This window comes from Homo sapiens, chromosome 2 (assembly GCF_000001405.40).
Source record: "Homo sapiens chromosome 2, GRCh38.p14 Primary Assembly".
Lineage (NCBI taxonomy): Eukaryota > Metazoa > Chordata > Mammalia > Primates > Hominidae > Homo > Homo sapiens.
In genome coordinates this window covers 185,509,655-185,533,833 of record NC_000002.12, presented here as the reverse complement: position 1 = coordinate 185,533,833, position 24,179 = coordinate 185,509,655, and positions in this window count along the sequence as shown.

Sequence of the window (24,179 nt, the reverse complement as noted above, 5' to 3'; positions counted from 1 at the left end):
GTGCTCAATTATATAGGCAGTCTTACGTATGCAATTCAGTAGACAGGTTACTGAAAATTTCACATAAAATAGGTAACAGCATTTTGGTCCCAAGAATTTTTGATAAATTAATCATTTTGATCCTGTTGGCCATCTTTAATTTGATCCCCAATTTCCTTTCAATGTTAATATTTTACAGTTTGACTCTCATGATAGCTCATCTCTTTCTTCCTTTATGCAAATATTTATTATGTACCTTTTATGTTTTGGGACTATTTCTAACCCTATACTGGTGAACAAGATGGATAAAGTATATACCATCATGGAACATACATTTAAGTGTGGGGTAAACAAACATAATTTTCTGTGTCTCTGTTGCAAAGTCTTTTTCATTTGTTCGTTTCTTCTTTTCCCTTCTTTTCTTTTCTTTATTCAACCCTTTACAAATGTAAAATCCATTCTTAGTTCATGGGCCACACAAAAAAATAGGCTATAGGCCATATTTGGCACAGCAGGCTGTAGTTTGCCAACACTTGTTACAGTTCAATGGTGTCACAATGTTTGGTTTTGGTTGTTATTATAAAGATAGGGAAACTTATTGGCAAAGGGACAAACACGTCAGACATCCTACAAATAATAGAACAATCTCAAAAAATAAAGATTATAATTGAATATCCAATAAGACTTTGAGTTATCCTAATGCCAGTCATTAAAGTGAAATATTTGATAATAGTGACATGTATCAAAATACAACTTTATCTTAGAAATTAACACAAATTATGTTTGCAAGATTTTAAAATTCATTAAAATTTCTAAGAATAAAACTAAGAATAGTCCTTTTTGTTGCTGTTATTAGGAGTCATTACTAAAAATTGTTCATCAGAAACTGCATATGGAAATCAATTTACAAATACAATGTACTTGCAGCAGTCTGCATTTATAACTGTATCACATTCACTATAATTTTTTTAAGAATAAAATTATATTCTTTGTTTCTTCTAATATACTATTATTTTATTTTAAATTACTCTTGTTTTATTTTCCTTTATGTAACAGTCAAGAAATCATATGCACACCCACCTACACATACAGGCAAAGGCAATTATAAGTATTTTATGTTATTTCTGAATTTCATTTTATAATAGGACTTTGATTAATTTAATTTAAGCCAGATTCTATCTTGGTTGTTTTCTATTATCAAAAAATGACATGGTGAAAGTAAAAGAAAGAAAAATGATGAATTTCTACTTTTGATTATTCTATACGTGTGTGTGCATACACACACACACACAGTCAGGCGTGTGCGACCATGCCTGGTCAATTTATTTTTTTTTCTTTCTTAGAGACAGAGTCTTCCTATGTTGTTCAATATTTATATATTTTAAGACATATGCTTTTTGGTGATTACACAGAATTGATTAGAATTTGAATTATTTGCCCAGTAAGTTTGCTCATCAAAATCAGTGAGAAGCAAAATGTTATCTAATATGCATTTGGCAATATGGTTTTGCAAACTATTTAGTGCTTACTCTGTGTTCATTTTTCTGAACCCCTCTGAAGTTAGGTCGCTTTTCTCATTTCACCCATTAACTTATTTAAACTTTACTTTCTTGCTAGCATTTATGAAACATACAGTTGTAATGTTTTAAGCATTAGGGACACTATCACAAAAGTCATCATCTTAAAATCATATATGACTAGTGAATGACAGGTAATGTGAGTTGAAAATAAAAGCTATCCACTTTCATACGTAAGTGGTAACTTTAACATTCATTTTATCTTTAACTCATAAAAAAATAGCTGCTTCCCTGAGACAGGATAAATAAGATCATCTAACAGTAAGTTCAAGTTTGTTTCTTTCTATCCAAATAGTTTATTGTGGTTAGAAATTTCCACATTAAATTGTGGGGTTTTGGTTGAGGTTAGTATAATATCCTACTTAGGTTGAAGTCCTCTAGTGACCTCAAGAGAGATGGAATTACAAGAAAGTTTAGAGACAAAGAGCCATTATGTGAAAAAGAATATCAACTAACGAGTCTCAAGTGTTTAAAAAATACCTAATACTTGGAAGCTTATGAGGTCAGATTCTTTCAGAATTCTTTTCTTCTTCAGTTGACATTGAAAAGGAACTAGTACATTTCCAGGTGCTCTTGAAATTATCCTTGTGACTCTAAACTTCTAAATGGAATCAGTTTAATATTCAATCCTAAAATGAAAGTTGTGTTTATTCTTTCAATAATGCTATGTCAGACATTTTTCTAGGTCCTAGATATGGATCCAGCAACAAGAAAACGAGGTTTCTGATCTTGTAGAATGTGTATTCTAATATATATGGTGGGAGATGGTGATGGGAAGACAATCAACAAATACATGTATTATTTTAAAAATTAAGTTTAATGCTAAGTGCTATGAAAAAAGTACATATGAGAGGATGGAAGGCCTGGTAATTGGTCAAGGAGTCTTCATTGGATCATCAACGTTTTCGCTTAGAAGTGAAATGCAAGAGAGAACCAGCCATATAGCAAAGCATCCAGGCAGAGGGAACTGCCAACGCAAATGTCAAGGCAGAAAAAATAAATTTTTTGAATTGTTTTAGAAATGCAAGGGCCTGTGAACTTTCAGGTCAGTGACTAAAGTTGACAGAGGTAGGTTCAAAGTGTTTTTGGAAAGGTAAGGGGTGAGATTACAAAGGACACTGAAGAGTTAAATAAAGAGTTTAGATTTTAAGTAAAACAGAAATTTAGCAGAATACTTCAAGCAGTTGAGTATCATGATCCAAAAATGACACAGAGGAATTTTTATAATAATGAAAGAATAAAAAGCCTATGGAAGAGGCTATTGCTGTTACCCAAACCAAAGAGAATTGTGACATAGCTGGAATGGTAGCTGTGGATAGGGATTGAATTATAATTTTGGTTTTAGAGTGACCAAAATTTACACACACAAGAAATACATAAGCTCCATAAAAGTAAAAAATATAACAGTTTATAAAAGTTTGTTGAATGAATGTATAGTTTAGATATGGGTATTAAGGAAAAAAGATAATTCAACAATACCTCCTAGGTTGGGGACTAGAAACTGTGGCAGATGATGCCATTTATTACGGAGGATACAAGACTGACTTGTAGTCCTTTAATATTAATAGTCTGTAGCTGCTATTCCATTGTCTTCTGTCTTCTAATATTGAAGACACTGGAACTCACAAACATGTTTTAAATTTATAGACAATTTTTTCTTTTGCCTGGAAGCTCCTTAGGTTTTCACTTTGTATTAAGAGCTCATATATTTTATCAGGGTATGGTTAGTTATAACATTTGTCACAACAATCTTCTCTGGAACTAGATTGACTCTCAAAACTAGAAGACTCATACCTAAAAGTAGTCTATCCCATAATTTACAGGTAAGAATTAAAAATGGAAGTTCTTGAACTAAAAGCCAGAATAACAAAAAAGTGTTATTTTTTAACAAATGGATGAACATAACATTTATGAATATAACTGAATATAAATAAGATATAATCAGAAATGTATCTTTAGTCATAGTATTTATTGAATTTATTTTATATATAACTTATGTAAATAATAACATTTTAAATAGTATTTATTTTATATATAATTTTAAATGCTCTGGGGGCATGAATATACACGTATATAAACTGAACACTTTTATTATATTAATATGTTGAACATTACAAAAATTAGTAAGATCTTATACAGGCATATCTCATTTTACTGTGATTTGCTTTCTTGCATGTAGCAGATACTGAGTTTTACAAATCGAAGATTTGTGGCAACCCTGCATCCAGCAAGTATGTCTGTACCATTTTTTCAACAGCATGCGCTCACTTGGTGTCTCTGTTATATTTTGATAGTTCTTGCAGTATTTCAAACTTTTTCATTATTATTATATCCGTTATGCTGATCTGTGATAAGTTATCTTTGATGTTCCTATTATAATTGTTTTGGGTTGTTATGATCCATACCCATACTAGATGGCAAACTTAATCAATACATTTGTGTGTTCTGACTGCTCCACCAGCTGGTCATTTCCCCATCTCTCTCCCATTCATCATGTTTTTTTTATTTCCTAGGACCGACGATATTGAAATTAAGCCAACTAATAACGCTACAATACCCTCCAAATGTTCAAGTGAAAGGAAGAGCCACATGTCTCTCATTTTAAATCAAAAGCTAGACATGATTAAGCTTAGTGAGGAAGGTGCTTCAAAATCTGAGATAGGCTGAAAAGTAGATCTCTTGCATCAGTTAGCCAAGCTGTGACTGCAAAGAAAAAGTTCTTGAAGAAAATTTAAAATGATATTCCGATGAATACATGAATGACAAAAGAGCAAAAGAGCCTTATTGTTGATATGGAGAAAGTTTTAGTGGTCTGAATAGAAGTTAAATCAGCCATAACATTCCCCTAATTCAAAGCTTAATTCAGAGCAAGGCACTAACTCTCTTCATTTCTATGAAGACTGAGAGAAGTAAGGAAGCTCCAGGAAATAATGTGTGAGGCTAGCAGGAGTTGGTTCATGAAGTTGAAAGAAAGAAGCTGTCTCCATAACATAAAAGTGCAAAGTGAAGCAGCAAATGCTAATGTAGAAGGTGTAGCAAGTTGTCAGGAAGACCCAGCTAAGATAATTGATGAAGGTGGCTACACTAAACAACAGATTTTCAATGTAAACAAAACAGCCTTATGTTAGAAGATGACTTCTAGAACTTTTATGCCTAAGAGATGTTAATACCTGCCTTCAAAGCTTCAAAGGAGTGGCTCTCTTATTAGAAACTAATGCAGCTGGAGACTTTAAGTTGCACCCAATCCGCATGAGATTACAAAAATTCTAAGACCCTTAAAAATTATGCTAAATCTGTCTTCCTGTCCTTTATAAATGGGAGAATAAATCCGGAATGGTAGCACATCTGTTTACAGCATGGTATATTGAATATTTTAAGCTCAGTGTTGAGACCTACTACTTAGAAAAAAAAACATTATTTTCAATATATTACCGCTCATTAACAATGCACCTAGTCACCCAAGAGCTATGATGGAGATGGACAGGGAGATTAATGCTATTTTCATGACTGCTAATACAACATTGGTTCTGCAGCCCATGTATCAGGAAGTAATTTTGACTTTCAAGTCTTATTATTTAAGAAATACATTTAATAAGACTATAGCTGCCATAGATAGATTCCTCTAATGGCTCTGGGCAAAGTAAACTGAAAATCTGGTGGAAAAGAGTCACCATCCCAGATGTCATTAAGAACATTCATGATTCATGGGAGGAAGTTAAAATACCAACATGAACAACAACTTAGAAAAAGTTGACTCCAATCCTTATGGATAACTCTGAGGGATTCAAGACTTTAGTGGAGAAAGTAACTGTAGAAGTGGCGGACAAAGCAAGATAACTAGAATTAGAAGTAGAACCTGGAGATGTTACTAAACTGCTGCAATCTCATGAGAAAACTGAATGGATGAGAAATTCCTTCTTATGAATAGCAAAGAAAGTTGTTTCTTGAGATAGAATCTAATCCCGGTAAAGGTGCTATGAACATTGCTGAAATAATAACAAAGGACTTATAATATTCCATACTCTTAGTTGACAAAGCTGTGGGAGGGTTTGAGAGGATTGATTCCAGCTTTGAAAAGTGCTGTACTCTGAGTAAAATGCTATCAAACAGCACTGGATGCTGCAGAGAAATCTTTCATGAAAGGAAGAGTCAACCAATGTGGCAAACTTTGTTGTTGTCTTGTCTTAATAGATTGCTATAGCCAACCCAACCTGCAGGAAACACCAGCCTGATCAGTCAGCTGCCATAAATGTTAAGGCAAGATCCTCCACTAGCAAAAAGTTTAGGACTCGTGGGAGGTTCAGATGATCACTAGAATTTCTTAGCAATAAAGTATTTTAAAATTAAGTATATACATTGTTTTGTACGCAAAATAGCATTGCACATATAGACTACTGTACAATGTAAACATAACTTCTATATGCACTTAGAAATCAGAAAATCTGTGTGACTTGCTTTATTGCGATATTCCTTTTATGGCAGTGTTGTGGTACTGAAACCATATCTTTGAGGTACGCCTGTATATCAAATTAGTAAAGAACATGAAAAATGGTGTATCCATGTGAAATGTTAAAGTAGGTACTGGATCTTCATTAGTGGTTCCCTATTGGTAGAAAACAATAAATTCTTCAATTCCCTGGCCATAATTAGTATTTCAGTTATGGGCCAGTGGCCAATTCTGGCCAATGAGAGTGAGAAAATCTCACTTAATAGAAGTCACCAGAAATATCTCTCACTGAATGTAAAAGAAAAAAAAAGCCTCTAAATTGAAGCAGACTTAAGATGAAGTTAAAGATCATAGAAAACAGTGCAAAGATTTAAAAAAATTCTTCCTTATAATATGTTTTATCAACTATATCAAAAGTTGTCAAGAATGTCCTCATATATCTTTCAAACCAGTTATATGTTTATTTCAGCTTTTCAGTTTTATTTTTATATATATATATATATAAACACACACACAAATAATTTTCATATATATGTATGTAAAGAGAGAGAGAGAGAGTTATGAGAAAAAAACTCCTTGGCCAAATATGAAAGAAATAAAACAGATATAATAAGTCACTATAGAAAATAATTTTAAAAAGTGAAGTAGAAAAAGACAATAAAATAGAAGGAAAGGCTTTTTAAAACATATTATGAGAGATGTAGGAAATATAAACATGGAATATAGCAAAGGTAGTTAGGAAGTTTTCAAAGAAGATTAAGAATATCTTATTTGAGTACATATCCCTTCAATATATGTACTCAAAGGAATAATTAGACTAGGTCTGCCTACAATGTTTCTTTCTTTAATGAATTATATCTCATTTTATAGAAAAAAATCTATGTCTAATAATTATTTTAGCTTTTCTCAATGTTCAAGCTTGTCATCTATTTCAAATAACACAAAGGATAAAAACATGCTTTGAATAAGCTTAAAGTTATTGAAAACTTCTACTGTAATTACTTCAATATATTCTTTGTATATTTAGTAAATATGATGTGTGTTTCATTACGGTAAGGTGTCCAAGGAAACTATTGGTTTATATAAAACACTTAAAAATAATAGCAAACAAACAACAAATTTACCTCTTCTTGAGATGGTAAGCTTACTATTACCTTTGAAAAAGATATTTAAAATGTATGCTGTGTAGAAATATAATGGCATGCTTGTATAATAAGGGCTTAATTAGATTGTATACTATAGTAAAGTGTTAAAATATAGGTGTTGCAAGATTTATTCTAAATAAGGAAATAGTAAAAAAAGATGTGCTCTTCACTAACAAAATACCACTGTTCTATTCTGGCATTAACAGACACCATATTCCATATCCAGAATAAAATTGGTGCAAAGTGCCATATTTTCCAAGTATAAAACATGACTAGGATAACTCCAGAGCTTCAGTAGTAGTTTCTTTGCTGTCAGCAAAATCAGCGGGGGCTGCAGCCAAAAGCACTGGAGCTAGTTAACAGCATAAATGTTTCTAGAAAAGAACATATTCTGAAGTAAGATATTTTAGTTCAACATTCTTCAAAATTTACCTTCTATATATGGATTTGAGTAAGGCTTGACTTTAGAGGTTGCTAAATAGAATATAAGAGGATTGGAGATTCTCTATATGTAGACAAGTGATTAATCACAATAATTAAAGTCAGTCTGTCGAAAGACACCTCAGGTGGTGCAACTATCTCACTCCAATGTATGTTGTACCTTGCTTTAAAAAAGAATTAACCTTTGAATATAAACAAATGTGCTGCCTATTTTCTAAGAAATCCTGTTTTATCATGAATATATTTTTGTGTATATTTATATATATACATAAATGGAATAACCCATATTTTAATAATTACATAAACCTTTTTATAAATCAAGAGAGGAACACTAAATTTACTATAAGCAGAAGGACAATGAAAATAGTTGCCATATATGTGTGTGTATATATATATATGTGCTGTGGAATACTATTCAGCCAAAAAAGGGTGAAATCATGTCTTTTGAAGCAACCTGAATGGAACTGAAAGCCATTATCTTGAGTGAAATAACTCAGGAAGAGAAAGCAAAATACTGCATATTCTCGCTTATAAGTGGGAGCTAAATAGTGTGTACATATGGACACAGAGAGCAGAATAGTAGACATCGGAGACTCAGAAAGGTGGGAGGGTGAGAGGAGGGTTAGGAATGAGAAATGAACTAATGGATACAATGTGCATTATTCAGATGGTGATTACACTAAAAGCCCAGACATCACCACTATGCAATATATCTGTGTAAGAAAACTGTACTTGTACCCCCAAATCAATAAAAGAAATAATTTTTAAAAATAAATAAATTTGTATGCTTAGTAACAGAATTACTTTTAAATAATAAAAACTATGTTTTTAATACAGTAAATGTCTCAAATTCCAGGAACCAATATTTATTGATTTATATTATTGATATCCTCATTTACATTTGTGACAATATGTCAGAATCTCCGAATTTTTTAACTGTTTTTATATGCCTGTAGGTAATTTCATCTTGAATTTTTGACATTTTAATATAATTATTAGCAGTTATCAAGTGGTTACCTTCTTATAATGATAATGCTATCTAGTATATAGTGCCAATAAATATTAGTTTTATTACTATTATTATTAGTGCAATAAAATATGAATTTATAAGGTGCAGTGTGGGTTTAGGGTAAGAAACACAGGAGTCTACAGAGATGCAGAGGAATGCAGTATGGATATGCATGTAGATATTGATGTAGACATAGGCATAGAAATAGATATAAACAGACATAGACATTGATTAGATGTAGATATAGACATGGGAATAGATGTAGGTATAGATATGTGAATGAGATATTGGTCATATAGACAGAGACATTGATATAGTGTATTAGTTCATTTTCACACTGCAGATAAAGATATACCTGAAACTGGGAACAAAAAGAGGTTTAAATGGACTTATAGTTCCATATAGCTGGGAAGGCCACAGAGTCATGCCGGGAGGTGAAAGGCACTGCTTACATGGCAGAGGCAAGAGAAAAATGAGGAAGAAGCAAAAGCAGAAAGCCCTGAAAAACCCATCAGACCTCGTGAGATTTATTCACTATCATGAGAAGAGCACAGGAAAGACTGGCCCCATGATTCAACCACCTCCCCCTGGGTCCCTCCCACAACACTTGGGAATTCTGGGAGATACAATTCAAGTGAGATTTTGGTGGGTTCCAGTCAAACCATATCATTCTGCCCCTGGGCCCTGCAAATCTCATGTCCTCACATTGCAAAACCGATCATGCCTTCTCAACAGTTCCCCATAGTCTTAACTCATTTCAGCATTAACCCAAAAGTCCACAGTCCAAAGTCTCATCTGAGTCAAGGCCAGTCCTTCCACCTATGAGCCTGTAAAACGAAAGCAAGCTAGTAGTTACTTCCTAGATACAATGGGGGTACAGGTATTGGGTAAATATATCCATTCCAAATGGGAGAAATTGGCCAAAACAAAGGGGTTACAGGGCCCATGAAAGTCCAAAATCCAGCAGGGCAGTCAATTTTTTTCTTTTTTTCTTTTTTTCTTTTTTTTTTTTTTGAGATGGAGTCTTGCTCTGTCACCCAGGCTGGAGTGCAGTGGCGTGATCTTGGCTCACTGCAAGCTCTGCATCCCTGGTTCATGCCATTTTCCTGCCTCCACCTCCCGAGTAGCTGGGACTACAGGCGCCTGCCACCATGCCTGGCTAATTTTTTGTATTTTTAGTAGAGACGGGGTTTCACCGTGTTAGCCAGAATGGTCTCGATCTCCTGACTTCATGATCTGCCTGCCTTGGCGTCTCAAGTTGCTGGGATTACAGGCATAAGCCACTGCACCAGGCCACAAGGCAGTCAAATTTTAAAGCTCCAAAATGATCTCCTCTGACTCCAGATCTCACATCAAGGTCACACTGATGCAAGAGGTGGGTTCCCATGGTCTCTAGCAGCTCCAACCTATGACTTTGCAGGGTACAGCCTCCCTCCTGTCTGCTTTCACAGGTTGGCATTGAGTGTCTGTGGCTTTTCTGGGTGCACAGTGCAAGCTGTTGGTGGATCTACCATTCTGGGGTCTGGAGGATGGTTGCCCTCTCTTCTCAGATGAGGGGACCCTCTCCTCCCCAGTAAGATGCAGTGTGGGGGCTCCAATCCCACATTTCCCTTCCACACTGCCCTAGCAGAGGTTCTCCATGAGGGCCCTGCCCTTGCAGCAAATTTTTGCCTGGGCATCCAGTTGTTTCCATACATCTTCTGAAATCTAGGCAGAGGTTCCAAAACCTCAGTTCTTGACTTCTGAGCACCCACATGCTCAACATCACATGGAAGCTCTCAGGGCTTGGGGCTTCCACTCTCTGAAACCACAGCCCAAGCCGTACATTGGCCCCTTTCAGCCACAGCTGGAGTAGCTGGGACAAAGGGCACCAAGTCCCTAGGCTGCTCATGGCATGAGAACCCTGGGCCCATCGAACAAAACCAGTTTTTCCTACTGGGCCTCTGTGCCTGTGATGGGAGGGCCTGCTGGGAAGTTCTCTGACATGGCCTAGAGACATTCTCCCATGATCTTGGGGATTAACATTAGGCTCCTTGCTACTTATGCAAATTTCTGCAGCTGGCTTGAATTTCTCCCCTAGAAAATGGGTTTTTCTTTTCTAATGCATTGTCAGGCTGTAAATTCTCCAAACTTTTAGTCTCTGCTTCCCTTATAAAACTGAATGCCTTTAACAGCATCCAAGTCACCTCTTGAATGCTTTGCTGCTTAGAAATTTCTTCCACCAGATACCCTAAATCACCTCTCTCAAGTTCAAAGTTCCACAAATCTCTAGGGCAGGGGCAAAATGGCACCAGTCTCTTTGCTAAAACATGACAAGAGTCACCTTTGCTCCAGTTCCCAAAAATTTCCTCATCTCCATCTGAGACCACCTCAGCCTGGACGTTTTCATATCACTATCGGCATTTTTGTCAAAGCCAATCAACAAGTCCCAAAGAGGTTTCAAACTTGCCCACATTTTCCTGTCTTCTTCTGAGCCCTCCAAATTGTTCCAGCTTCTGCCTGTTACCCAGTTCCAAAGTCACTTCCACATTTTCGGGTATCTTTTCAGCAAGGTTGCCCTCTACTGGTACCAATTTACTGTATTAGTCCATTTTAATGCTGCTAATAAAGACATACCCAAAACGGAACAAAAAAAGAGGTTTAATTGGACTTACAGTTCCACATAGTTGGGGGGGTCTCAGAATCATGGCAGAAGGCAAAAGGCACTTCTTACATAGCGGCGGCAAGCAAATTAGGCAGAAGCAAAAGTGGAAACCCCTGCTAAACCATCAGATCTTGTGAGACTTATTCACTATCATGAAAATAGTATGGGAAAGACTAACCTCCACGATTCAGTTATGTCCCCCTGGGTCCTTCCCACAACACATGGGAATTCTGGGAGATATAATTCAAGTTGAGATTTCAGTGAGGACACAGACAAACTATATCATATAGTTTAGATAGATATAGTGAGATATGAGGGAGACATTGGTCAGGGATGTACTTAGAAGAAAAACTATCATTTAGACTTTATAAAATTACAAAACAATTACTGGGATGAATTATTAGCATAAGAAATAATGCACAAAAGGGTAAAGGGCTAAAAATTTATTAGAGTGTTATAGATTTAAAAGACCTTCTAAAATCCCCCAACTGTCTCCATACACATACACACCACTTACAAAGTTTCAAGTTTATTAGGGCAGGATATAGAACACATGGAATGTATGCTGTCATACAGAACAGATGATAATGCAACAGATATTTGTGAGACACTTTCTTGAGTTGTTTTCCATAAAAGTTTCCATGCTGTACACAACACTTTTCTGCTAGAATTGAGAAGGAAGCTAATTTCTTGTTGTGACCTGCCCATTTAAACTCTGGGTAATTTACCCATCACTGGAATAAACAAACAACGGCTCCTTTAACTTTCTCTAAGCCATGAGCCTCTACTGCCCCATCAAAGCAAACTCATTATGGATGAGAGGATGGAGAGATATGTAAAAGAAGTCAGCACTAATGCCTCCTAGATTATACTTCTGCCTCCAGATCTCTAACAGACTCAAAGCCTATCTCTTCATGTACAAACACTATGTGGCTGAGTGTACAGAATGAAGAGCTGTAATGGTTAAACAGAGAAGGAAGAAAGAGGACTTTCTACAGGAGGTTGAGACATTGCATTTAAATTATATCTGATGGGAGCTAATTAAAATTTTTGAGAAAAGTAAAGAAGGGATAAATTATTCAAACTTAAAAAGAAAAACTTTCTTTTTTTGGAAGCAGAGAAGACAAAATGGAAGAAGGAGAGATTATAGAGATTTGAGATCTCAGGGTGAGATGATAGTCTTAATAAAGAACACAGTAAATGAAGGGGAGAAAGATATGTGTGTGGGAGTATGAAGGAAAAATTGAATGGGCAACGGTCGGGGAGACATGACCACATTGGAGAGAGATTTTATTGATTATATGACATATTGGGAGGGCTATGGTGAAAGAGGGAGAAGAGCTGACAATAAACCTTGTTTAAAATATCACAGTCAGTACTGAAAACTCACATCCTCAATCTACATAATGCTGGTCAGATAAAGACCTCTTGAAATTGAAGATCATAAACAGAAGTTCATTTATTGGGTTTCAGGGCTGAATTTTTAAATACCTTTTATGAATAGTCTTTATATTGATGGGAATTGAACAGCTTATATTTGTCTTTGACAAAAATGAGTGGATTTGCTAGAATTTTATTTTCTGGAACACATTTATCCAACTCTGGAGAAACATCAGAGTTCTAGACAGGTTTCAATAGCAGTCTATAAATCATCAAATTCTCCTATGAAAAGTGTCTGAGCCAACTGGTTTAGCTTGTTGAATTCATATAATTAGAAAAGAAAAAAAGGTATAGGAAAGCCAAGTTACCCCATTAGGTTGTAGGTAGAAACAGAATAGTTGCAGAATACTTAAGACATAACTTATCTAGCCATTTACTTCTGACATATATGTTTGTTTTGTTATTTCTTTAATAGTCATTATCATTTGCATTTACATATGGAGGCTCATGAATATATATATTTACATATATATGACAAATTATTTCCTGATTCTCTTCCTGTTTGACCAGAACAGGATTTTTAAAAACTTTCGCCTGCTATCACCTTGAAAATGTGAGTATATAATATTTTCTTAACATTTCACAAATAGTGTAGAGTTAATAACTAGTGTACCTATATCTCTATTGAAATTCTCTTTTGCATCATGAAAGAGAACTCAGCTATAACTAGAATCATACTCCCTTTTACATCTCCTTTATGCATGAGGAATTAACCTAGGCCATCCTCTCCATATTCTGTCTCCCCATATATTTTGTTTCCTTGTTTAGAGTAATAAAATCATAAAATATATTGAAATTGAAATTAGGGGTGAAATGTGAAATCTTACTTAGAAATATGTAAACTGTATGATTTTTACCCTAGATTTGTGCTTAGGGCACTGAACTCTTGTACACATTTGTCTACCTTTCTATTCTTACTTATTGCAGTTACCATTTGTTGAGATTATTGACTTAGTTGATTCTAATTTGGTCTTTATCCTTTCTAATCTTCTCATTTTGTTCCTCCATTATATTTTATATTTTTCTAATGTTTAATTTTCAAAATTCTTGCAATAGACAGTTTGGTCACCTGAAACTTATGGTTGTCAAAAAAATACCTATACTGATGAATCTAAAATTTCTTTTTCTAGTCCTGAGTTTTATTTTAATATATCTTACTACATATCTGGATATTCTCAACTATTTGTTAAAAAATTGTCACCATTTAATCAAAAAAATTCTTATGGTCATAAATTCTTTTTTTCCTTCATTCTATACTTCCTACCCAAATTAGATTTAAAAATAGTTCTAGACTTTGTTAGCATGTATCACTTCATTCAGTCAAAATTTTTCTGCTTTTAGCTTTTGTATTATTCTAGATTTAATCACTTTTTCTGTAGTAACTATGACTTTATTACTTACCATTTCACTAAGTGCTTGAGTCAATAATAAAAACACCCTTCACAATGTATAATGGATCAAATGTAATAGAAATTGTTTTCTAGGTAAAAGATCAAAATAGTTATTCTGCATTACCACATAGTTTTTCTCCAAGGTCTGCTTTGAGTTTCCAAACTTTTTACATTTTTCCGCTTCAACATTTACAGCTGGCTTTAAAGGTAAGTGTTCTCATGTACATCAAACTTGTACTGAGGGAAAGCACTTGGAGAATCAAACATTCATTTAAAAATTTAGTATAAGATTGATGCAAAGGTTATTGTGGTTTTTGCACCAATGTTTAGAAATGACCGGTGCATACCAGTTCCCCTCACATTTAAGCAGGTCTTGTTTGGTCAAATGGAACCCCAGGGGACAGGGACAAGATGGCTGACTAGAAGCAGCAGCAATCAGAGGCTCCCACAAAAAAGAATCAAAACAGAGTATGAATTCTGCACTGGCAACCGAAGTATCCAAATTCTGTCATCAGTACTGACTAGGTGGCTGGCGTAACCCAGAGAGAGGAGGGAAGAGTAGGTTGGTGCGTCAGCTCACCTGAGGGCCACACTGGGCAGAGGAGCCCCATACCCCAGCCAAGGGAGGCATTGAGTGAGCATGCTGCCCAGCCTGGGAAACCATGCTTTTTCCACAGAACTGGGTAACCCATGGATCGGAAGATCCCACTCATGAGCCCATGCCACCAGGGCCTCGGGTCCCAACCATGGAACTGTACAGATTCTCAACAGCCACTCACCTGGAATATGCCTAAGCCTACTGAGTTCCCAGGAGGAGGAGTGGCCATCACCACTGCTGCTGCTGCTTGCTGTCTAGGCCCTCTGAGCTCCCCGGGGAATGGGCGACAGCCAACACTGTGGCTGCTAGCTGCCTAAGACACTAAACTCCAAGGGTGAAAGGGCAGCAGCCTTCACTATGGCTCTAGGGCCAGATTTCACCCTACTGAAGCCAGGGAGCCTGGACGGCCTGGTCCCAAGAGGTATTCCCCATAACACAGCACACCAGCTGTGGCAGACTGCAGCCAGACTGCATCTTTAGGCTGGACCCTGACCCATGCCCCCTCACTGGGCAAGGCCTCTCTATAGGAACTCCAACAACTCCAGCCAGGGCCTCAGGGTCAGAACTCTGATCTCCCTGGGTCTAAACCCCTAGTGGGAGGGGTGGCCATAGTCTCCATGGACCGGCAGACTTAGTCTTTCCTCCTGCTAGCTCTGAGGAATCCAGCAGCATATCAAAAAGCTTATCCACCGCTATCAAGTCAGTTTCTTCCCTGGGATGCAAGGCTGGTTCAACATAAGCAAATCATTAAACATAATCCATTACATAAAGAGAATCAGTGAAAAAAATCCACATGATTGTCTCCATAGATGCAGAAAAGGCCGTCGATAAAATTCAACATCCCTTCATTTTAAAAACTTCTATCAAACTAAGTATTGAAGGAACATATCTCAAGACAATAAGAGCAATTTATGACAAACTCATAGCCAATATCATACTGAATGGGCAAAAGCTGGAAGCATTCGCTTTGAAAACGGTGCAAGATAAGGATGCCCTCTCTCACCACTCCTATACAACATGTTCTTTTTGCCTAGGATTTTCTTGGTTATATGGGCCCTTTTTTGGTTGCATATGACATTTAAACTAGTTGTTTCTAGTTCTGTGAACAAAGTCAATGGCAGCTTGATGGGACTAGCATTAAATCTATTGGAAGTTCTTGCCAGGGCAGTCAGGCAAGAGGAAGAAAGAAAGGGTATTCGAATAGAAAGAGAGGAAGTCAAATTGCCTCTGTTTGCAGATTATATAATCCTATATTTAGAAAACCCCATCATCTCAGCCCAAAAGCTCCTTAAGCTGATCAGCAACTTCAGCAAAGTCTGAGGATACAAAATCAAAGTGCAAAAATCACAAGCATTCCTATACACCAACAACAGACAAGCAGGAAGTCAAATCATGAATGAACTCCCATTCACAATTGCTACAGATAGAATAAAATACCTAGGAATATAGTTAACAAGGGATATTAAGGACCTCTTCAAGGAGAACTACAAACCACTACTCAAGGAAATAAGAGAGGACACAAATGAATTGAAAAACATTCCATTCTCATAGATAGGAAGAATCAATATTGTGAAAATGGCCATACTGCCCAAAGTAATTTATAGATTTAATGCTAGTCCCATCAAGCTGCCATTGACTTTGTTCACAGAACTAGAAACAACTAGTTTAAATGTCATATGCAACCAAAAAAGGGCCCATATAACCAAGAAAATCCTAGGCAAAAAGAACAAAACTGGAGGCATCATGCTACCTGACTTTGAACTATACTACGAGCCTACAGTAATCAAAACAACAAGGTACTGGTACCAAAACAAATATATAGAGCAATGGAACAGAACAGAGGCCTCAGAAATAACACCACACATTTACAACCATTTGATCTTCAACAAACCTGATAAAAACAAGCAACGGGGAAAGGATTCCCTATTTAAGAAATGGTGCTGGGAAAACTGGCTAGCCATATGCAAAAAACAGAAACTGGACCTCTTCCTTACACTTTATACAAAAATTAACTCAAGATGGATTAAAGACTTAAATGTAAAACCTAAAACCATAAAAACCCTAGAAGAAAACCTAGGCAATACCATTTAGGACATAGGCATGGGCAAAGGCTTCATGGTTAAAACACCAAAAGCAATTGCAACAAAAGCCACAATTGACAAATGGGATATAATAAATCTGAAGAGCTTCTGTTCAGCAAAAGAAACAATCATCAGAGTGAACAGACAACCTACAGAATGGGAGACAATTTTTGCAATCTATCAATCTGACAAAGGTCTAATATCCAAAATATACAAGGAACTTAAATAAATTAACAGGAAAAAAACAAAGAATCCCATCAAAAAGTGAACGAAGTATATGAACAGACATTTGTCAAAATAAGACATTTATGTGGCCAAGAAACATATGAAAAAAAGCTCATCATCACTGTCATTAGAGAAATGCAAATCAAAACCACAATGAGATACCACCTCATGCTAGTTAGAATGGTGATCATCAACTGATACCATCTCACACCAGTCAGAATGGTGATTATTAAAATGTCAAGAAACAACTGATGCTGGTGAAGCTGTGAAGAAATAGGAGCGCTTTTACACTGTTTGTGGGAATGTAAATTAGTTCATCCATTGTGGAACACAGTGTGGCAATTCCTCAAGGATCTAGAACCAGAAATACCACTGGACCCAGCAATCCCAGTACTGAGTAAATACCCAAAGGAATGGAAATCATTCTGTTATAAAGATACATGCACACATATGTTTATTGTAGCAATATTCACAATATAAAAGACATGGAACCAACTCAAATGCCTACTAATGATAGACTGAATAAAGAAAATTTGGTACATACACACCGTGATATACTAGGCAGACATAAAAAGGAATGCAATCATGTTCTTTAAAGGGATATGGATGAAGGTATAAGCCATCATCCTCAGCAAACTAACACAGGAACAGGAAACCAAACACCGCATGTACTTATCGTAAGTGAGAACTGAACAGTAAGAACACATGGACACAGGGAGGGGGACAACACACACCAGGGCCTGTTGTGCTGAGCCGAAGGGAGGAAGAGTATCAGGACAAATAGTTAATGCATGTGGGGCTTATTACCTGGGTGACTGGTTGATAGGGGCAGCAAACAACGATGGCACACGTTTACCTGTATAATAAACCTGCACGTTCTGGACATGTATCCCAGAACTTAGGTCAATTAAAAAACAAAAACAAAAACAAATGTTACCCCAAGCTCCAAGAAAGCTGGGAAATACAGCCTATCAGTAAACACAGGATGAAGAAAAAATGAGTTCTTTGGACAGAAAGACAATCTCTGCTTAAATCTCCTTAATCATGTGTAGAAGATTTAAAATGACTTTGCATACAAAATAATAATAAATTACATCAGTATCTCAAAATAAACTCAATTCCTTTATAAATTAACATGAAAATATCTCTCAAAAACATATATGTAATAAAATGAAATAAAGTTGTCTATTTTGAGAAATAAAAATAGAAATAAATTCAATAGTTACCCCTTGCTAAGAAAATTAAAGTATGTTTTGGTCACAGCAGATGGATATATGTCATTCCATATTGACTTTACTAAGTCTATACATAGTAAAGTGAAAGAAACATTTACGACAATTTTATAAAACATATATGTGGCTATTCAATGAAGAAATAAATCCAATGAATCATTGGCATTATATTCAAAGTTTCATTTCAAAAATGATTTCTAAGTATTCTGTTAGTGGTGTAAAGAATCTTTATGTATAAACATTAACATGGATTTATATAGCCAAGGGGTTAGCTTTTGAAAAAACAATCTCCTCTATCTAAACACAGCAATGGTATATGAAATATAAAAAATGTTAACTAAGTAGACATTGCTGGGAGTAAAACCACCGTAACTTACCTATGGATTAGAAACATAAAGCAAATATAAAACGTTAAACCACAGTTGATAAAATAAACTTGCTGCAATGTGAGTCGAAACTAGGCAGTTATGACCAAAATAAGGCTACTTTGGTGTAAGGAGAAATACAAATATTTGTTTTAGACAGCAAACAAGAGAAAGTTTCATTGTTAAAAGCTAGAGGTAAGAATGGAGTTACCCTCATTAAAGAGGGTAAATATTATTATTAGTTTTTGCCTTTTATTACTATTATCTACTAATTCAGGTTGTAATTTAATTCAAAATTATTCACCAACAAGGCAGAAAAAAAATCAACCTTATTACTAGCAATTAAGCAAAAGCACCTTCACTCACTGCTTCCCTGCATGTATCCCCATACCTTTAACTATCCATGGGAAGAGTCATTCCTAATTGATATCAATGGCATGATTTTGAATTCAGAGTCCAAAAGAACAGGTAGAAGTAATGGCAAAATGAGTAAAGAATGAGGAGTAAGTGAAAGGGGGGAGGGAAGAGAGAGAATTTGAGAGAGAATTGTCAACCCAGAATAAAAAGTCTGCAAAATGCAGGAATGAGTCTAACAATTTAATAAAAAGAGCCAGCAAAATCAATGATTAGAACAGTAACTGATCTGATATGAAGTGCATTTTAGATATCAGCCTGAAAAAAGTTAAAACTAGTGTACTGAAAATGAGGAATTCAAAGAAGCCACTTATAAGACAGAAAAGAAATAGTCCCTGAAATTTAAAATGCAATACATTTAATAAAATCTAAGGAAAAACTGGAATTGAAGAACACCACTGTAATGTTTGAAGTTAAGAAAGAAGATAAGAAATGGATGAATGAGCAGTTAATGGATATGGATGAAAATTTTGAGACTCCAATGAAGTTTGTGCTGTTTTCCTTCCTTTGCAATAACAACGCTAATTAGAACATTATTATACACATCTTGCTGTAGACCTGTGTGAGAGTTTCTCAAAATTTATATCTAGAGGTGAAATTGGTGGGTTGTTAAAATATACATATTTTCATTTTGTAATTTGTTTCTAAATTATTTTAATATGTACATACTCAATTTATATCCACACAAACAGTTACATTTTCTTTATATTTTAACAAGAATTGGAAACATGAAGGTCTTTTCCTATCTTTAGCGATCAAATCATTTTAAAGTGGAAAACTACGGCTTTAATTCATGTTGTTCATGTATGGACCACTGATAAGAATGTGTCATGAACAAATAATTGTATTATTACAATTCTGTGTGCCTGGGGTCCAAATTATAAATAAATAAGTTACTTTTTTCAGTGCAAGAATCTGGAAAAGTAACCAGATATATTTGAATATAGCAAGGGAAATTAATAAATACATAGAAGTAAAGATATTAATTGAAAAGAAACAAGACACAATGAAAAATAGAGGGGATCAACAAAACCAAGCACTTATTCATTTAAAAAACTAATGTAATAATTAATAAACACTAGAGGGACTGATTTGTTTTTGAGACGGAATCTCCCTCTCTTGCTCAGGCTGGAGTGTGGTGGCACGATCTCGGTTCATTGCAACCTCTGACTCCCCGGTGGAAGCGATTCTCCTGCCTCAGCATCCCAAGTAGCTGGGACTACAGGCGTGTGCCACCACGCCTGGCTAATTTTTTTGTATTTTTAGTAGAGACGGGTTTTCACCATGTTAGCCAGGCTGGTTGCGAACTCCTGACCTCAGGCAATCTGCCCGCGTCGGCCTCCCAAAGTGCTGGGATTACAGGCATGAGCCACCATGCCCAGCCAGGACTGATAACTTTAAAAGAGGAAAAAATAAGATAATATTATAAACAAAATAATGAAAAACAGTAAGATTTAAAGGTTATTTGTTAATACATTGAGTAAATTAGTGCAAATAAATTTGAAACAAGTATAAAATTCACTAGGCCCAAACTAAGTTTGACCAATATTCCATAGAAGAGGTCATCAGTCTGTTTAAAATTGTTTCACAAAATAGAAAAAAAGATCATTTTACAAAGCTCTTATAAACTTGATTATAACATTTTCTTCACAAGGAAAGCAGAAAGAAAAAACAAATCTCTTTCTGAATATAATTATAAATTATTATAAAATATTATCCAGTTGAACTTGGCAGTTTGGCACAAAACATACTATGTTCAAAAAAGTTGTTTATTTATCCCCAGCACTTCAAAATGGCTCAACTTTAGGTAATCTGTTATTATAATATATATACTCAAAGAGAGAAGGAAAAAAATCAACTTTTACATATAATTAATTGAATAAATATTTATTTGAGATAAAATCTCAGTTATTTACCAATATAAATGTCTTATCCTGATAACAACCTTTGTAGCAAACACTATATATAATTGTGAAATTTTTAATAGCAGTTATACTATAGTAACAAGAAAGAAATGGCAGCCATTGTTTTTACTCAACAGTAAACTAGTTTTTATCTAATACAAAATTGCAGAAACAAAATTGAGAAATTCAAAAGTTGCAAAGGAAGAGATAATACCATCTTTCTTTACAAATAAAATGAGAATCTATCAAAATAGCAACACAATTTTTAAGTTACTGCTAAAATTCATAGAAAAAATATTTTACAAATATTACTGGGTAAAATATAAATATAAATGTATATATTTCAAATGTAAATCAATGTGACTTATATATGCCAATATTTAGAATATAAAAAACATAGTAGGAGAATTTTTAACTATCATTATGAAACAAACAAGATATAACTTATGATTAAGCCTTAAAATTATATGCAATTTCTACCTCTAGGTTGGAAGAAATGCTTTACAACATATCAATTGCCAAACAAGCCGAAAAAATCCAGATTAAAAAAATAGCTTAAAGAAAATTATGGCCAAAAATAATAAAGAAATTAAATTAACATTAGACAAATTGAGCAGTAAGACAAACTCTTTTACTACCGATAAAGACGCTCACTTTAAACAATAAATTATTTAGTTCACTAGAAGATAGACTCATGTAAAATATATAGATATGCACCTAATAATAAAGACACAAAAATAAGGAAAGCAAAAAACACAGCTAAAGGGAAAAAGCAACAATTAAGAATCATAGTTGTATTATTCTAGACACATTTTTAAATTGCTGACAGGGTAAAAATAACAGTAATAATATATGAGACCTATAAACTATAGATCTATAAATTATATGAAACATCACCTATTCAAAATTACATCACCAATCACAGAATCCATATTCTGTTTATGTGAAAATAGAATATTCATAATATTTGTCAAGTAAGAATAAGTAAAAAAGGATGAATAATTTAAAATATGCTTGCCAACTATAGTATAATAAACTATAAAACAATTTTTAAACAATAATTAATAATTCTTATCTTCCTGGAAATTAAAAAAATATATTTGTTATTCTATCTATCAAAGAAAAAATCACAATTAAATTAAGCAAATATTCTCAATTGAATTATACAATATATAAAAACTAACAGGATACAGCTGAAGTAGTTCTTTAAGAGAAATTAAATAATTTTAAAGATGTAAAAACTGTAAAGAAATTACTTTCTTGATTTCTTTTTCAGGTCTTTCACTATTAGTATATAGAAATGTTACTGGTTTTTGTATATTGATTTTGTATTCTACAACTTTACTGAATTCATTTTGCATTTCGTCCCAGGGAGGCAGGGATGGTTTAACATACGCAAGTCCGTAAATGTGATATATCACATAAACAGAATTAAAAACAAAAACCATATGATCATCTCCATAGATGCTGAAAAAGCATTCAACCAAATTCAGCATCCCTTTGTGATAAAAACTCTCAACAAACTAGACATAGAAGGGACTTACATCTCAAAATAATGAAAGCCATATATGACAGACCCCAGCCAGTATCATACTAAATGGGGAAAGTTGAAAGCATTTCCCCTGAGAACAGGAAAAAAGAAAAGGATTCCCACTTTCGCCACTCCTATTCAACATAGTTCTAGAAGTCCTAGCCAGAGCAATTAGGCAAGAGAAAGAAAGGGCATTCAAACCGGAAAAGAGGAAGTCAAACTATCACTGTTTGCAGATGATGTGCCCCTACATCTAGAAAATCCTAAAGACTCCTCGAAAAGGCTTCTAGATTTGATAAGCAAATTCAGTAAAGTCTTAGGTTACAAAATCAACGTACACAAATCAGTATCCCTGCTATACACCAATAACAGACCCGAGAATCAAATCAAGAACTCAATCTCTTTTACAACAGCTGCAAAATATAAAATAAAATACCTACAACTATACTTAATCAAGGACGTGAAAGATCTCAGCAACGAATATTACTTCTAACAGTTTTTAGATTGAGTCTTTAGGGTTTTGTATGTATATAATTATGTTATCTGCAAACAAGGACAATTTGACTTCCTTCTTTCCAATTTGGGTGACTTTATTTCTTTATCTTGGCTAATTACTCTGGCTAGGACTTCCAGTATTATGTTAAATAAAAGTGGAAAAGTGGGTACTATTGTCTTGTTCCAGATTATAAAGGAAAAGATTTCAGTGTTTTCTCTGTTTAGTATGATGTTAGCTGTGGGTTTCTTATGTACGACTTTTATTAGGTTGATGTACGTTTCTTCTATACCCAGTTGTCTGAGGGTTTTTGTCATAAAGGGATGTTGAATTTTATCAATTTTTTTTCTGTATTTATTGAAATAACCATATGATTTTTGTTCTTATTCTTGATTTTGTTAATGTGATGTATCACATTTATTAATTTGTGTGTGTTGAACTATCCTGCATCCTTTGGATAAATTTCACTTGATTATGGTAAAATATCTTTTTATGTTGTTGAATTTGATTTAATCATCAGAGTAATGCAAATCAAAAGCACAATGAGATATCATCTTATTTCAGTTAGAATGGTTATTAATAAAAACATAAAAAACAAATTCTCTTGAGGATGTAGAGAAAAGAGAACTCATACTGTTGACGGAAATATAAGTTAGTTCAGCCATTAAGCAAAACAGCATGGAGGTTCTTAAAAATATTAAAAACAGAACTACCATATGACGCATCAATCCCATTACTGGTTATATATCCAAAGGAAATGAAATCAATATGTTAAAGAGAAATCTGCATTCCCATGTTTACTGCAGTGCTATTCACAATAGCCACGATATGGAATTAACCCAATGCCCAACAATTGATGAAAAGATAAAAATGTTGTGGTCTCTATACAATGGAATACTCTTCAGCCATAAAACAAAATGAAACCCTGTCTTTTGAGGCAACATGGATGAAGCTGAAGGACATCAAGGACATCATATTAAATGAAATAAGCCAGGCACGGAGAGACAAATACCATATGATCTCACTCATATGTAGAATTTGTAAAAGGTTGACTTCATAGAAGTAGAGCATAGAATAATAGTTATCAGAGTCTGGGGAGGGTAGTGGAGATGTGATACTGGGAGAAGCTAGTCAATGGGCACAAAATTGCGGTTAGAAAACATAAGTTTGGTGCTCTCTTACAAACTAGGGTGACTATAGCAGATAACATAGTGTATATTTCAAGATAGCTTGAAGAGATGACTTAAAATGTTATCGCCACAA